The sequence below is a fragment of the Homo sapiens genome, chromosome 16 (genome assembly GCF_000001405.40).
Source record: "Homo sapiens chromosome 16, GRCh38.p14 Primary Assembly".
Classification (NCBI taxonomy): domain Eukaryota; kingdom Metazoa; phylum Chordata; class Mammalia; order Primates; family Hominidae; genus Homo; species Homo sapiens.
Window position 1 is genome coordinate 503,116 of NC_000016.10, and position 17,173 is coordinate 520,288.

A 17,173-nucleotide genomic window follows, 5' to 3' on the forward strand; every position below is an offset into this window, starting at 1 on the left:
GGTAGGTGGCAAGTAGGGGATTTAGAACACAGCCACGCCTAAGGGCCGCTGCAGACACCCCGGGAGGTGGGGACAGCACAGCCGGAGGTGACCCCATGTCCTCCAGGGCTCCCCAGACTGTCCATCCAGCCCCGATGCTCTTTGGCAGGTTTCCCCAAGGGGTCTCGTGGCCATGTGAGAAAAAGGAGTCTTCCTGTTGTGCACGAAGGGCCAGCTGGGAGGAGTGGACTGGGCAGTGAGTGAGCACCCTCGGGTATCCCACCCCCACTGTGTCTGAGTCGGGCTGGGGGACACCCAGACATTCAGTCCACCAGGCCCATGGAGACGCGACCTGGGGCACCCATGATTTGGGAGAAAAGGGCTGGCCCTGCAGTTACTGCAGAGCCAACAGCCTGAGGAACGGGCTTCTCCTGGGGCCTTGAATGGAATGGGTGACAGCAGCCAGGGCAAGGCAGCCTTGCCGTGGTCAAGACCCGCTTTTCAGCCAGATGTGGTGGCTCACGCCTGGAATCCCAGCACATTAGGAGGCCTAGGCGGGCAGATCACTTGAGGTCAGGAGTTTGAGATCAGCCTGGCCAACATAGTGAAAACCCGTCTCTACTAAAAATACAAAAGTTAGCCACGCATGGTGGCGGGCAACTGTAATCCCAGCTATTTGGGAGGCTGAGGCAGGAGAATCACTTGAACCTGGGAGGTGGAGGTTGCAGTGAGCCGAGATTGCACGACTGCACTCCAGCCTGGGCGACAGAGGGAGACTCCGTCTCACCTTCTGCACCCCCTCACCTTCTGTGACCCCTTCACTTACTCCTGTACCCCCTCAATTCCTCCTGTACCCCTCATCTCCTCCTGTACCCCCTCACCACCTCCTGTACCCCCTCACCACCTCCTGTACCCCCTCACTACCTCCTGTACCCCCTCACTACCTCCTGTACCCCCTCACCTCCTCCTGTACCCCCTCACCTCCTTGTGTACCCCCTCACCTCCTGTACCCCCTCACCTCCTCCTGTACCCCCCCACCTCCTCCTGTACCCCCTCACCTCCTCTTGCACTCCCATCTCCTCCTGTACCCCCTCACCTCCTTGTGCACCCCCTCACCTCCTGTACCCCCTCACCTCCTCCTGTACCCCCTCACCTCCTCCTGTACCCCCTCACCTCCTCCTGTACCCCCCTCACCTCCTCCTGTACCCCCTCACCTCCTCCTGCACTCCCATCTCCTCCTGTACCCCCTTACCTCCTTGTGCACCCCTCACCTCCTGTACCCCCTCACCTCCTCCTGTACCCCCCTCACCTCTTCCTGCACTCCCATCTCCTCCTGTACCCCCTCACCTCCTTGTGCACCCCTCACCTCCTGTACCCCCTCACCTCCTCCTGTACCCCCCTCACCTCTTCCTGTACCCCCTCACCTCCTCCTGCACTCCCATCTCCTCCTGTACCCCCTCACCTCCTTGTGCACCCCTCACCTCCTGTACCCCCTCACCTCCTCCTGTACCCCCCTCACCTCTTCCTGTACCCTTCACTTCCTCCTGTACCCCCTCACCTCCTCCTGCACCCCCCTTACCTCCTGTACCCCCTCACCTCCTCCTGTACCGCCTCACCTCCTCCTATACCCCCTCACCTCCTCCTATACCCCCTCACCTCTTCCTGCACCCTCCTCACCTCCTCCTGCACCCCCATCTCCTCCTGTACCCCCCTCACCTCCTGTACCCCCTCATCTCCTGTACCCCCTTACCTCCTCCTGCACCCCTCACCTCCTGTACCCCCTCACCTCCTCCTGCTCCCCCACCTCCTCCTATACCCCCATCTCCTCCTGTACTCTCTCACCTCCTCCTGTACCTCCTCACCTCCTCCTGTACTTCACCTCCTCTTGCATCCCCACCACCTCCTCCCTACAACTTCTCTAGCATCTCAAGTCTGCTGACCCAGGCCAAGTCCTCCTCTGCTCCCTTCACTCCTTCTCCTACCTCCGCAGGTGTCTGATTCTCATCTTGGTGTGAACTCTCTGAGGGAGGGACCGAGACATGGATCTGTCTGTCCCTTGCATCCATGGGCACCTGGGCTGCCTCTGTGAGCTGCATCTGGCTGAGCAGAGACCCAACTGTGTGTTGGGGGGCTGAGTCTTGCTGCCCACCAGCCAGCCAGTCCAAAGGCACCCCTGGGCCCCGAGCCCTCAGAGCTGCGGCACTGTGTGCATTTGTGGGTCGAATGACAGTGCTCCCCAAGACCCCGGCCCCATTAGGAGCTGCACCTTTGTGGGTTTATGGGACAAGTTGGATCCAACACCAGCCTAGCTAGGTGGATCTGATTCTGTGCTGAGAAAATCCCCAGGCGGCCTCCCAGGTTGTTCCCTTGGGGGTGCAGGCCCTTCTGCTTCTGGCTGCCTGACCCTGAAGCCTGGTCTCATTGCCAAGGTTGTCTTCCTGGAAAGGCGTGTGCTGGAGCTGGAAAAGGACACGGCAGCCACCGGTGAGCAACACAGCCGCCTGAGGCAGGAGAACCTGCAGCTGGTGCACAGGTGAGCCTGGGCCAGGAGACCCGGGCCTCTGCGTGGCGCCTCCTGTGCCCGCCTGTCAGCCCCCATTTACTTCTCTTTACCTCACACAGCAGGGGCTTGGCCACCCGTCCATCCCCGTTGGAAGCCGGCTGAGGGGGTGGTGCCAGGTGGTCATCTGAGCCTACCCAGTGGGCTGCAGGCAGGCGACCCGAGGCTCTGACTGGTGCTCTCATGGAACCCTAGACACACAGAGGGCCAGAGGAGGGCACTGCCTCCCTCTCGGGAGCGCTGAGACCTGACCCACACAGAGGAGGAACTGACTGCGAACCCACGCAGTGCTCAGCCTCACCAGCAGGCCTGGAGGTGCAGCTCTCCCACCACTCTGGTCCATACGGGGTTTGCCCGTCCTGGAAGAATGCAGGTTAGAGAAGTCGCTCAGCAGCAGAAAGCGAAATGAGCAGTGACTGCTGAGTACGCGACAGGACGCGCAGTCTCATCGCTGTGGGCAGGAGTGCTGGGGAGGAAGCGAAGTGTGACGCCGTGTTTGCAGAGAAAGAGTGGGAGCTGCTTGCCTCACTCTGGTTTGCAGACTTTTCTTAGAATACCGTGTAATTCTCGGTGTTTTTCACACGAGGCACGCCATGTTGTCTCATAGCCGATTTGCAGGACTGTTTCCGGTGCAAAGTAAGATGAGCTTGTCCCAGGAGTCAGCTACCCAGGCTATGACACCTGTAGCTGGGCACCGGCAGCCTCTTGTGGGCAGAGGAGGCAGCCAGGAGGCCTATGAGGCACCTGTGGGATCTGCAGAAGAGGTTCTTCCTGTGAGCTTCTGTCCCTGCCCAGCTGCGCGGGCACATCCCGGCTCTTCCACATATTCTCAGCTCGGCCAAGGGCCCTGTCCCTTGAAGCTTCAGTGTCTTCATCACCACTGAGCAGGTAGATTCAGGGCTCTGAGCAGCCTGCACACACGTGTGTTGGCAGCAGGGCATTTGTGGTCAGCATCCCCAAAGCCCCCAAGCCCTCACCCTCACGGTACTAACATTTGTGACCATCTGCCCTGTGAGCGCTGAGAATTGGAATGCCTCATGGGATTGTGGGCATAACTTGCACATCATTTTAATTCTAACAAAGCAAAGCATGTGCTCTTGTGGAGTGAAGACCCTGGGCTTGGCGGCTGCCCGTTCTCCAGGATTCTCAGCAGAAGAGGGCCTGCTACCAGCCCCTGCTGCAGAGTGGAGAGGGGCCAGGCATGCTGGTGAAGGGGCTGGACTCCCGTAGTGCGCTACACATAAGCAGTGCCACCAAAGACCACTGTCTCCTCCTTGTCAAGGAGAATCCGGGGGGCTGCCAGATGCACTTGTTTTGTTTTGTTTTTTGAGAGACAGGGCCTCGCTCTGTTGCTCAGGCTGAGTGCTGACTACAGCCTCCACCTCCCAGGCTCAAGCGACCCGCCTCCCTCAGCCTTCGATGTAGCTGGGACTACAGGTGTGCACCACCACACCCAGCTTTTTTTTTTTTTTTTTTGAGACGGGGTCTCTCTCTGTCTCCAGGCTGGAGTGCAGTGGCGCAATCTTGGCTCACCGCAACCTCCGCATCCCAGGTTCAAGCGATTCTTCTGCCTCAGCCTCCTGAGTAGCTGGGACTTGCAGGCATGCACCACCACGCTGGGCTAATTTTTGTATTTTTAGTAGAGACGGGGTTTCACCATATTGACCAGGCTGGTCTTGAACTCCTGACCTTGTGATCTGCCTGCCTCAGCCTCCCAAAATGCTGGGATTACAGGCGTGAGCCACCGTGCCCGGCCTAGTTTTTAATTTTTTTATAGAGATGAGGTCTTGCCATGTTGCCCATGCTGGTCTCAAACGCCTGGCCTCAAGCGATCCTCCCACCTTGGCCCCCCAAAGTGCTGAAATCAGAGGCGTGAGCCACCATGTCCAGCCTAGATGCCTTTGTCGAGTTGACTGTGGAGGTTTCATTTGAGTCTGGAGTATGTTCATCTGTTTTCCGTGTGTGTGGTGTGAAGTCCACACTGCCGCCTGGCACCACCCACTGACCGTCTGCAGTGCAGCCCCGGCCACATTCAGTTCCTGTGGCTGTTCCCTGTGGTGCTCACCTCCAACGTCCTAAACAACACGTTTCCCGTTTTCAGTATCATCTGCCCGTTCTGAGCCATTTGCTCTCTAGCCCTACCATACAGCTGCCATCCTAAGAGTACGTTTCCCGTTTTCAGTATCATCTGCCCGTTCTGAGCCATTTGCTCTCTAGCCCTACCATACAGCTGCCATCCTAAGAGTACGTTTCCCGTTTTCAGTATCATCTGCCCGTTCTGAGCCATTTGCTCTCTAGCTGTGCCGTACAGCTGCCATCCTAGGAATTCCGAGTGCTTTCTCCTGTGTTTGATTCCTTATTTTCTGGGTCCCACGTTTTCTTCTGTTTTGCCAACTCATTTTCTGAGTATGTCACTGATAGTTGCCTGGAAAAGGGAGCACAGGAGCCAGATGCTCTGAGAACTGCTTGTGTGGAAGTGCTTTTTCCTCCCACCCTGCTCCAGTCCATAGTGTAGCTGGGCATAAAATTCTAGGTCAGAGATCGAATTCCCTGAGAATGTGAAGACCTCTGACCCGGTGCTGTGACTGAGGAACCTCTGGTGCCGCAGGGCCTTGATGTTCTCTGTAACTTCTGTTTCCCACCCTACATACTTGGAGGAGGATCTTGTATTATTTGCCGTGCTGTGCACCTGGTTTTCAGCCTTTATTTCGTTTTGTTTTGTTTTGTTTTGTTTTTTGAGACAGAGCCTTGCTGTGTCACCCAGGCTGGAGTGCAATGGCACAATCTCCGCTCACGGCAACCTCCGCCTCCCGGGTTCAAGTGATTCTCCTGCCTCAGCCTCCCAAGTAGCTGGGATTACAGGCATGCGCCACTGTGCCCGGCTGATTTTTGTATTTTTAGTAGAGACGGGGTTTCACCATGTTGGCCAGGCCGGTGTTGAACTCCTGACCTCAAGTGATCCATCTGCCTCGGCCTCCCAAAGTGCTGGGATTACAGGCATGAGCCACCGCGCCTGGCCTAGGTTTTCAGCCTTTAAATCTGGAAAACGCGTCCTTTCGCTGTGGGAAGACTTCTGAAGTTATTTCACCATGCGGCCTCTCCCTCTCATCTGTCTGAACATCTGCTAGTCACACAGTGGGCCTTCTGGATGTTTCCTCTCCTTTTTTAAACTTTCCTCGTCTCTAATTTTATCTTTCTGTTCTTTTTTTCTATGTAATATTCTCAGTTTTCTCCTTCAACTCTTGATCAGATCTTTTTTTTTTTTTTGAGACAGAGTCTCACTCTGTTGCCCAGGCTGTAGTGCAGTGGTGTGATCTCTGCTCAGTGCAACCTCTGCCTCCTGGGTTCAAATGATTCTCGTGCTTCAGCCTCCCGAGTAGCTGGGACTACAGGCACCTGCCACCACATCCGGCTAATTTTTGTATTTTTAGTAGATTCAGGGTTTCACCATATTGGTCAGGCTGGTCTCGAACTCCTGATCTCAGGTGATCTGCCCGCCTCTGCCTCCCAGAGTGCTGGGATTACAGGCGTGAGCCCGGCATCTCAATCGGACTTTTAAATTGTCCTTCCCACGCTTTCAGTTCCTGGGAGCTGTTCCTTGTTGTTTGTCTCTTCTGCAGCAGGCTGCCCTGACGCTGCAGCTTTGGCTCTCTGCTCGCGGAGGCCGCTGGCTCGGGGACCTTTCCCTGCTGTCTGCTGCATCATGTGTCTCCCTGGGTCCTCACTTGGTGTTTGCTTTGGCCACTTCCTGTTGAAAGCTTTCCTGTTGTGTCTGGTGATCTTTGGCCATCTGTTCACTCCTGCGTGTGAGGCACCACAAGGATGAGAGGCTCTGTGCGAGGCAGGGCCAGAGGGCGTGGGCTGTGCTGTGTCAGTGGGCAGGGCCTGTGCCCTTCTCTTTGGGATGGTTCAGTCCTGTCTCCTGCGGATGGTTGTGAAGATCTCAGGAAGGCCAGGGTCTCCCTGCCCTGTGGGAATATTCCCTTTCCCCTGTGGTCTAGCTGACACCTGCCCTGCCTCTGCTCTGAGGTGACCTGGATGGGACTGGTCTCTATACCCACTTCCCCAGCCTGGAGGGGACTGGGAGCAGAGTGGGCCCCCCCCCCACTTGTGGCCCCTCACAGCCTCTGGGGCCCGGATGTGCCCAGCTGCCAGAGCCAGACTCGTCCTGGCTCCCATGTGGACCTGGCATCTCAGGAAGCCTCGTGAGCACCTTTGGGTGATGTGCCATGAACTGACTGTACTGCAGCTGAAGGCAGACTCCGCCAGCACACTCAGTTCTCTGGTGTTCAGCTGCCGCGGACCACGTGCTCATCAGACACTCACTTCCTGGAAATGCTGTGGCCCTTGGGCCCTGGCACCTCCACGCCCCGTCCCGAGGCCCCGTGCCTCTGGGCTCTGAGCGCACGCGTTGTGTGTAGTGGCCCTGGCACCTCCACGCCCCGTCCCGAGTCCCCGTGCCTCTGGGCTCTGAGCGCACTCGTTGTGTGTAGTGGCCCTGGCACCTCCACGCCCCGTCCCGAGTCCCCGTGCCTCTGGGCTCTGAGCGCACGCGTTGTGTGTAGTGGCCCTGGCACCTCCACGCCCCGTCCCGAGGCTCCGTGCCTCTGGGCTCTGAGCGCACGCGTTGTGTGTAGTGGCTGCAGGTGGAGCAGCTGCATGAACACAGAGTGCACCAGGAGAAGTTACCTGGCGGGCTCAGGCCCTCTGAGTGCTGCGGTCCACAGGCCACAAGCGGGCAGTGCCTGTGGGTATCAGCTGGGCCTAGGTGCAGTGGACACTGCTCCGGCCACCCCAGGTGCCTTTAGTGTGGGAGGCGAGGCCATCTGGGGGTGTATTCGCTGCTTCAGAACTGCCTTGACCAGAGCTCGGGGATGCCCTTCTCGGTGCCCTACTCCCGAGTGGAGGCAGGTTCTCTGGAGGTCCTGAGGCAGCTTCTGGGCATGGGTGGAGCCACTGCACACCCTGCCTGGAGACAGCTCAGCTCCTCCCTTTGCCTTTCAAGAGCAAACGCCCTGGAGGAGCAGCTGAAGGAGCAGGAGCTGAGAGCCTGCGAGATGGTCCTGGAAGAGACCCGGCGTCAGAAGGAGCTCCTGTGCAAGATGGAGAGGGAGAAGAGCATTGAGATCGAGAACCTGCAGACCAGGTAGGCGGTTCCCAACAGCCCATCCACCCCAGAACCTGCAGGCCAGGTAGGAGACGGTCCCCAACAGCCCGCCAGCCCCAGAAACTGCAGGCCAGGTAGGCGAGGTTCCCGACAGCCCGCCAACCCCAGAACCTGCAGGCCAGGTAGGAGAAGTTCCCCGAAAGTCCGCCAACCCCAGAACCTGCAGGCCAGGTAGGAGAAGTTCCCCGAAAGTCCGCCAACCCCAGAACCTGCCGGCCAGGTAGGAGAAGTTCCCCGACGGCCCGCCAACCCCAGAACCTGCAGGCCAGGTAGGAGAAGTTCCCCGACGGCCCGCCAACCCCAGAACCTGCAGGCCAGGTAGGAGAAGTTCCCCGACGGCCCGCCAACCCCAGAACCTGCAGGCCAGGTAGGAGAGGTTCCCGACGGCCCGCCCACCCCAGAAACTGCAGGCCAGGCAGGAGAGGTTCCCGACAGCCTGCCCACCCCAGAAACTGCAGGCCAGGTAGGAGAGGTTCTTGACAGCCCGCCCACCCCAGAAACTGCAGGCCAGGCAGGAGAGGTTCCTGACGGCCCGCCCACCCCAGAAACTGCAGGCCAGGTAGGAGAGGTTCCCGACAGCCCGCCAACCCCAGAACCTGCAGGCCAGGTAGGAGAAGTTCCCCGACAGTCCGCCAACCCCAGAACCTGCCGGCTAGGTAGGAGAAGTTCCCCGACGGCCCGCCAACCCCAGAACCTGCAGGCCAGGTAGGAGAAGTTCCCCGACGGCCCGCCAACCCCAGAACCTGCAGGCCAGGTAGGAGAAGTTCCCCGACGGCCCGCCAACCCCAGAACCTGCAGGCCAGGTAGGAGAGGTTCCCGACGGCCCGCCCACCCCAGAAACTGCAGGCCAGGCAGGAGAGGTTCCCGACAGCCCGCCCACCCCAGAAACTGCAGGCCAGGTAGGAGAGGTTCTTGACAGACCGCCCACCCCAGAAACTGCAGGCCAGGCAGGAGAGGTTCCTGACGGCCCGCCCACCCCAGAAACTGCAGGCCAGGTAGGAGAGGTTCCTGACGGCCCGCCAACCCCAGAACCTGCAGGCCAGGTAGGAGTAGTTCCCTGATGGCCCGCCCACCCCAGAACCTGCAGGCCAGGTAGGAGAAGTTCCCCGACGGCCCGCCCACCCCAGAACCTGCAGGCCAGGTAGGAGAGGTTCCTGACAGCCCACCCACCCCAGAAACTGCAGGCCAGGCAGGAGAGGTTCCGACAGCCCGCCCACCCCAGAACCGGCAGTGGCTAGGAATAACCTGAAAGTTTAGAAAAAGGGGCAAAGCTATGTGGAGAAGACTTTGAAACTCTCCCAAAGACCACAAGGGATCGGTTCAAAGACTGACCCTGACGCTGTGCGGGTGCTGGTTTCTGTAAATCCATGTCTAACCAACGTATCCAGTCTTTTTAAAATACCAATCTTTTTTTTTTGGGTGGGGGTGGGTGGGTTTGAGATGGAGTCTTGCTCTGTCGCCCAGGCTGGAGTGCAGTGGCGCGATCTCGGCTCACTGCAAGCTCTGCCTCCCGGGTTCACGCCATTCTCCCGCCTCAGCCTCCCGAGTAGCTGGGACTACAGGTGCCTGCCACCACGCCCGGCTAATTTTTTGTAATTTTAGTAGAGACGGGGTTTCACCGTGTTAGCCAGGATGGTCTTGATCTCCTGACCTCGTGATCCACCTGCCTCGGCCTCCCAAAGTGCTGGGGTTACAGGCATGAGCCATCGCGCCCGGCCTTTTTTTTTTTTTTTTTTTTTTGAGACCAAGTGTCACCCTGTCGCCCAGGCTAGAGTGCAGTGGGGCGATCTTGGCTCACCACAACCTCTGTCTCCTGCGTTCAAGCAATTCTGTTGCCTCAGCCTCCCTGGTAGCTGGGGCTAGAGGCTCACACCACTGCACCCAGCTATTTTTTGTATTTTTAGCAGAGACGGGTTTCACCATGTTGGCCAGGATAGTCTTGAACTCCTGACCTCAGGTAATCCACCCGCCTCAGCCTCCCAAAGTGCTGGGATTAGAGGTGTGAGCCACTGCACCCAGCCAAAAAATCATTATTTTAAATAGAGACAGGGGTTCTTGCTGTGTGGCCCAGGCTGGTCTTGAACTCCTGGGCTCAAGCATTCCTCCCACCTCGGCCTCCCAAAGCGCTGGGATTACCAGCGTGAGCCACTGTGCCCGCCGAGGCACAAGCATTAAAGCAGCATGGTGCCTCCCTTGGTTCTCCATCTGGGAGCTCATGCTGTGGATTCCTGGTGTGTGTTTAGAAATACATTTGCAAGGGACGGTTATTGATTTTCTGTAAAAGTTAAAAGCATCAGGTAACTTAAAATATCTATAATCAGAGGACTCTAGAGTTCTCTATCCTTCTTGTGTGTCTGGGTAGTGAGGGTGGAGGAAGTTGTTTTATACAGTTGTTTGTTTGTTTGTTTGTCTGTTTTGAGATGGGGTCTTGCTCTGTGCCCCTGGCTGGAGTGCAGTGGCCCTGTCATGGCTCACTGCAGCCTTGAACTCCCGGGCTCAAGCAATCCTCCTGCCTCAGCCCCTGAGTTGCTGGGGCTCCAAGTGTGCTCTATCATACCTGGCTAACTTTTCTTTTTTGGTAGAGACGAGGTCTTGCTGTGTTGCCCAGGCTGGTCTTGAGCTCTTAGCTTTAAGTGATTCTCCCACCTTGGCCTCTTTTTGTTGTTGTTGTTGGGATTTTTTGTTGTTGTTGTTTTTCCTCTCCATACTCTCAGCAGAAGCACCTCAGCCTCTTAAAGTGCTGGGATTATGGGCATGAGCCACCTCACGTGGCTTTTTTAAACTGAGCATGTACTACTTTTAGATTTTGAAATACAGTAGTTTTAAATATTCATAAGAGGATTTCAGGTTCTTTTGCTTGTGTTCCTTCCAGCTCTTAAAGCTAAGATACTTGCCTTATCTAAGAAGAGCTCCTAGGCATTTTCAAAACTGGTGGCAGGAAGGGGCCTGCACTGAGAGAGCTGTGCGGGACGCCCCACACAGGGAGGCCTCCGTGCCTGCCATTGCAGTGGGGCGCCGTCTTCTGGGGAGCAAGGTCAGGGCAGCCAGGACAGTGTTTTCCCCGGGCCTTGGCACAGTGCAGTTGAGTGGGCTCAAAATTAAAGTACGTTTCTCGTCTGTGAGCGCCAGGGAGCACCTCCCATGGGACCTTTCCGCTGGGGCTGAGGTTGGGGCACAGCCGTGTGGACATCCTGCCGCCTCTGTGTGCTCTGGTGTGGAGGGGCACAAGATAGGGGTCTCACGAGGCCCTCAGGGAGCAAGCAGGGCCCAGTGTCACTGCCTCTTGTGAGCAAGCCGCCTGCCCACCCTAAGCGCTTGGGGTCAGTGCCACCGTGTTCTGGGCCTCCTGCAGCTTCCTGGAGTGGCCACCAGGAACCTTGTGGTTCTCAGGGCTGCTCAGGCCGTCAGAGGCCCCTGCAGCCCCAGGTCAGCAACCTGCGGTCAGCCCAGCACGAGGCCTCTGGCATCTTGGGGACTTCCCCAGCCTGGCCTCTGCCCATCTGGTGTACAGGAAGACCCTGGTCAGTGCAAAGACACTGTCTCAGTCCGGGGTCCTCAGGAGCAGAGGATCTGGAGGCAGGACTCCCAGCACCTGCGTCGGAACCTCCTGGGAACAGCAGGGGCGGGTGGCTATGCAGTTGCAGTGCCTAGAAAACAGCTGGATTTCAGGAGTGGAGCCTCAGTAGAGATGAGAGTTAAAGCTGAAAGGGCATAGAGAAGATGGAGGAGTGGAGAGGCTGGAGCTTTGGACATCCTTGTTTAGGGACCGGGAAAGGAGAATATGTGTCATCAGCAGAATGGGGCTGTACGAAGGTCACAGGCAGAGATCTGAATCTCAGGACACAGGGCCCGGGAGAGGTTCTAGGAAAGGCCAGGTACCTCTGGGAGTGGGGCCCCCAGGGGCTTCCAGAAAGTATGGGAGCCCCTGGCAGGCTGCAGAGAGCTGGAGTGAAGGCTGATGGGGCCACAGTGGCATGTCCACAGAGACCGGGGCCTGATTTGCAGCTTGTGGCACCTGCCGAACCCCCGGCGTTGGGGTACATGGCCCATCATCAGGCACAGAGTGAACTGGGTGAACGTGGCCCTGGTGTGTGGTGCTTTCTAGCAGCACGTGAGCCAAGGAAGCCCAGGGAAGCCTTCGCTTGTGCCACGTAGCATAGCTCGTCCTTCCAGAAAATGTGAGTAGACTCCCCTGAGCCTGATAATGAAAGGAGAGAAGTCAGAAAGACTGACCCCAGCACTGGGCAGAGCCGAGTGTGTCTGATGGACAGCGAGAGGCTGGGGCAAGGAGGAAAGAAAGAGGGGTCAGGCCTCGGGAAGGCAGTGCTGCTGTGTGTGAAGCTGTGCGGCTCTTTATTTTCTTCTCTTTGCTTATCTGTAGTTTTGAAATTCAATAGAATTAAAACATAATTTGCTTTCATAATTATGAACAAAACATGCAAGTGTTACTTTGAAAGGAGAAAATAGCTGTGGGTAGAGCCGTCTGGACTCCAGGGTTAGAGGCGGAGAGTGGAACTTAGTATGCTCCACTCAGCAAAACAACAGGAAAGGCAGATGGCAAAGGTGCAGCCCAGAAAGCACAGCTGCACACACTCCTAACGCAAACAACACCCTGCGCCAGCAGCTACACCGGTGTTTGCATCTCGGAGCAGCCACATGGCTGACACGGACCGGGGTTCGCATCTCGGAGCAGCCACACGGGCGACACGCACCGGTGTTTGCATCTTGGAGCAGCCACACGGGCGACACGGACCGGTGTTTGCATCTCGGAGCAGCCACACGGCTGACACGGACCGGGGTTCGCATCTCGGAGCAGCCACACGGGCGACACACACCGGTGTTTGCATCTCGGAGCAGCCACACGGGCGACACGCACCGGTGTTTGCATCTCGGAGCAGCCACACGGCCGACACGTGTTGGGGTTTGCATCTCGGAACAGCCACACGGCCGACACGGACCGGGGTTTGCATCTTGGTACATGAAGGCTCAGAAGTGGGTAGCACCAGGAACCGTGGAAGTTGGATAAAGGCGAGGCTCACACAGGAGGGTCCCCACCCACATACAGCTGGATCACACCCATCCCCACCCTAGAGGAGGAATCGGGACTGCAGGGCGCCAGCACACACCAGAGTGGCACCACCGAGCGCCCGGGTCCTCCTGACGAACACCTGAGGCCAGGGGTCTGACCAGCCCCAGACAAGTCCTGGGAGCGTGCCTGTCCCGGGCACCCCGTGGCCTCCCCGGCAGTGCAGAGGCCGGCCGGTGCTCTTTGGAAGGGGTTGCATCTGCTTTGCCCCTGGTCTCAATCATCAGTTTGCAAAGCAAGAGCAAGTCCCCTCCTGGGTAGAGGACACCTTAAGCCCTTCCCGCCCAGCCCTGTGCTGCCCCTGGGTTTCCACTTACACCAAATTCTGGGTGTTGGTGCAGGTTGGATTGAATTAGAAGGGACGGCAGGGTAACGGGATGGTGAGGACAACTGGATTATGGAGAAGATCCAGGGTTCCTTGGAGAAATGGCCAGTTCTGAGGCTGGGACAGGCTAAGCCTGCAGCAATGTGTAGTATCTGAAAATGAGGTGCTTACACTAAAAACCCCCCATGAGCACAGACACTGAGGTTATCTCAGAGGGACATGGGCCAGCTGAAGGAGTTGCCAGACGCCAAAGCTGGAACAGTTTAACAAACTCATAGTGACAGCCTTGGATTACAATCCAAAGCATAAAGTGCGTGAGTCCATATGACACAGATAAATTATCATCAACGAACAGAAAAGAGGGCCGGGCGCGGTGGCTCACGCCTGTAACCCCAGCACTTTGGGAGGCCGAGGCAGGTGGATCATCTGAGGTCAGGAGTTCCAGACCAGCCTGGCCAACATGGTGAAACCCTGTCTCTACTGAAAATACAAAAATTAGCCAGGCGCGGTGGCGGCCGCCCGTAATCCCAGCTATTCGGGAGGCTGAGGCAGGAGAATCACTTGAACCTGGGAGGCAGAGGTTGCACTCCAGCTTGGGCGACAAGAGCAAAACTCCATCTCAAAAATAAAATAAAATAAATAAATAGAGAAGACACAAATCTTCCTCACAGAGGAATTCCACATAATGTCCGCAGACACTCCCTCCAGGAGGCGGGGGCTGGACCCAGTGAGCGGCTTCCAGAGGACAGAGCGGGCGGGAAAGCAGGGACCTGTCAGAGTGCACACCTGGCAGGCAGACCTTGGCCAGGTGATCAGAAAGCCGTGCGGACGTCAGGACCCTGATACGGTGTGACGGGAAGGGCCCCGCACCTCTGTGGGCATCTTCCCAAAACCCATCACCCAGTCTAATTGCGAGAAAACACCAGACGGACCCAACGTGGGGGACGCTCTACAGACACCATGACAGGCCTGCTCGACACCGTCAAGGTCGGAAAACACAGGAAAGTCTGGGAGACTCACAGACCAGGGGACGGAGGAGACAAAATGCAGTGTGGGCTGGGCACGGTGGCTCACACCTGTAATCCCAGCTCTTTGGGAGGCTGAGGCTGTTGGAACCTTTAAGCTCAGAGTTGGAGACCAGCTCAGGCAACACAGCAAGACCTTGTCTCTGCAAAAAATTTAAAAATTAGCCACGTGTGGTGGGGCACACGTGTACTCCCAGCTACTTGGGAGGCTGAGGCAGGAGGATCTCCTGAGCCCGGGAGGTCGGGGCTGCAGTGAGCTGAGATTCCACCAGTGCACTCTGGGTAACAGAGCGAGACCCTCTCTCAAAAAACCAAACAAATGCAGTGTGGTTGCTGGATGGGGTCCCAGAACAGAAAGGGCACGCATGGGAAAGCCACAGTCTTCAGTTAGTGTGGTCTGCAGAGTGTCCCAATGTGGCTCTGTGACTGTGACACATAACACCACAGTGAAGAACAGTGACCACACCAAGGGAGGCCAGTGCAGGGCCCACGGGGACTACACTGTGTCTGCTACTTCTTTTTTTCTTTTTGATACAGGATCTTGGCCGGGCGCGGTGGCTCACGCCTGTAATCCCAGCACTTTGGGAGGCCGAGGCAGGTGGATCACCAGGTCAGGAAATTGAGACCATCCTGGCTAACACAGTGAAACCCCGTCTCTACTAAAAATAGAAAAAATTAGCCGGGTGTGGTGGCAGTCGCCTGTAGTCCCAGCTACTCGGGAGGCTGAGGCAGGAGAATGGCGTGAACCCGGAAGGCGAAGCTTGCAGTGAGCCGAGATGGTGCCACTGCACTCCAGCCTGGGCAACAGAGTGAGACTGTCTCAAAATAAGTAAATAAATAGATACAGGATCTTGCTTTGTCACTAGGCTGGAGCGCAGTGGCGGGATCACAGCTCACTGCAGCCTTGTACTTCCAGGATCAAGTGATCCTCCTACCTCAGCCCCTCAAGTAGCTGGAGCTACAGGCATGTGCCACTATGCTCGGCTAATTTTTGTATTTTTTTATAGAGATGGGGGTCTCACTATATTGCCCAGGCTGGTCTCAAACTCCTGGGCCCAAGCAATCCTCCCGCATTGGCCTCCCAAAGTGTTGGGATTACAGGCGTAAGCCACTGTACTCGCCTTCAACTTTTCTGTAAACCTAAAATTATTCCAAAACCCAAAGTATATTAAAAAAACCACCGTGGATGGCCGGCGGGGTGGCTCGCGCCTGTAATCACAGCACTTTGGGAGGCTGAGGCAAGCGGATCATGAGGTCAGGAGTTCGAGACCAGCCTGGCCAACATGGCGAAACCCCCTCTCTACTGAAATTACAAAAATTAGCCGGGCGTGGTGGCAGGCGCCTGTAATCCCAGCTACTCAGGAGGCTGAGGCAGGAGAATCGCTTGAACCCCGGGAGATGGAGCTTGCAGTGAGCTGAGATCACACCACTGCACTCCAGCCTGGTGACAGAGTGCGACTCTGCCTCAAGAAAAAAATAAAAAAATAATACTAAAACCTTCAAGGATTACGGAAAAGCTGTGCCCTGGAGCACATGGGTGGGCACATAAGGATTGGCCCTGGTCGTTTGGGGGCGTCTGTTGGTCACAGGGCGGCCCCAGCAGGGTTTCCCTGAGACACAGGGCACACTGGCCCTGTAGAGGCGAGCTTCCTGGAGTGAGTTTCAGCTTTGTTCTTGTGTCCCAGGCTACAGCAACTGGACGAGGAGAACAGTGAACTCCGGTCCTGCACGCCCTGTCTGAAGGCCAACATTGAGCGTCTGGAGGAGGTGAGCTGCCAACAGCCTGGAGCTGTGGCCAGTGGGGCCAGCCCATGCCCTGCCTGTGGGGCAGCTGAGGTAGCCCTGAGCTCTGTGCTGAGCGGGATACTGTGCTGTGTGTGAGGGAACGGGGCCAGCTCAGGGCCCAGGCCGCTGGAAGACACTGGACCGTGCTCCACCCACAGGAGCAGGGCCCAGAGGCTCACTCCTAGATGGACCCAGGGCTCTGAATCTGGGAATTGTCCTCCAAGGGGAAGGCATCAGCCAGCCACTTATGCCCCAACCACTGCCGACGTGGAGGCAGAGGCTACACATGGGGCTCCCACACCCCAGCTTGTCACTGCGAGACCTCCCTGCCCCCACCTCACCAGGTGTGCTCTGGGAAGCTCCCAGGAAGGATATTCTCAGAGCACTTGGGCCCTGACTCCCATGAACCAGAGGAGCCCGGCTGGAGGTGCCCACAGCCACTGAGTCAGGTCCTGTCCACACAAAGGTCCTTCCTGCCCCTCGTGAGAAACGGCCCTCGTGGCCTGCGTGTGCGCCTCTACCCAGAAGCAGGTGGCCTTGACCTCCACTGAGAGGCAGGAAGGCTCAGACCCAGCCCTGTCGCGCTCCAAGCACGGGCGCCACCGCGTTGCTGTTGGGAGACTCAGAGATTGGAGGGACAGACGGCCGGGGCAAGCTGCATGCACAGGTAGGTGCGTGACCCGCATCCAGGGCAGGTGTCCACCCCTGCAGGAGAAGCAGAAGCTGTTGGATGAGATAGAGTCGCTGACGCTGCGGCTCAGTGAAGAGCAGGAGAACAAGAGGAGAATGGGGGACAGGCTGAGTCACGAGAGGCACCAGTTCCAGAGGGACAAGGAGGCCACCCAGGAGGTGAGCACCCACCCTGCCCCACGCCCAGTCCTGCGCCCAGCCTGCCCCACGGGGAGCCTTTGTTTCCTGAGACGCTAGCTCTTGGCTGTGCTGCTTTGGGCATAGCCGCTGGTGTGTGTCGTCCTCCCGAGAGACGGCCAGATCAACCCTGAGGTTCTACAGCCAAGTGATGGCTGACGGTGGCCCCTGGGAGCCCAGGCCCCCCGGCTCACTGCACGGTTGCCCTGCAGCTGATCGAGGACCTCCGAAAGCAGCTGGAGCACCTGCAGCTCCTCAAGCTGGAGGCCGAGCAGCGGCGGGGCCGCAGCAGCAGCATGGGCCTGCAGGAGTACCACAGCCGCGCCCGGGAGAGCGAGCTGGAGCAGGAGGTCCGCAGGCTGAAGCAGGTGGGCAGGCC

General features: G+C 57.7%; 1 protein-coding gene across 9 annotated transcripts in view; it reads left to right on the forward strand.

Annotated features, from left to right (window-relative positions):
* The window catches only part of RAB11FIP3 (RAB11 family interacting protein 3), a 97,363-nt gene that overhangs the window by 77,467 nt on the left and 2,723 nt on the right, over nt 1-17,173 (forward strand). For 8 of the 9 annotated variants that reach the window (NM_001370401.1, NM_014700.4, XM_011522765.3 and 5 more), the window contains 5 exons: nt 2,409-2,512; nt 7,545-7,685; nt 15,828-15,909; nt 16,639-16,776; nt 17,007-17,162. In NM_001370401.1, the coding sequence (NP_001357330.1) occupies nt 2,409-2,512; nt 7,545-7,685; nt 15,828-15,909; nt 16,639-16,776; nt 17,007-17,162 (621 nt within the window). Of the gene's footprint in view, nt 1-148; nt 551-2,408; nt 2,513-7,544; nt 7,686-15,827; nt 15,910-16,638; nt 16,777-17,006; nt 17,163-17,173 lie in introns of those variants that run through there. The other variant, XM_017023907.2, reaches the window with a different exon arrangement.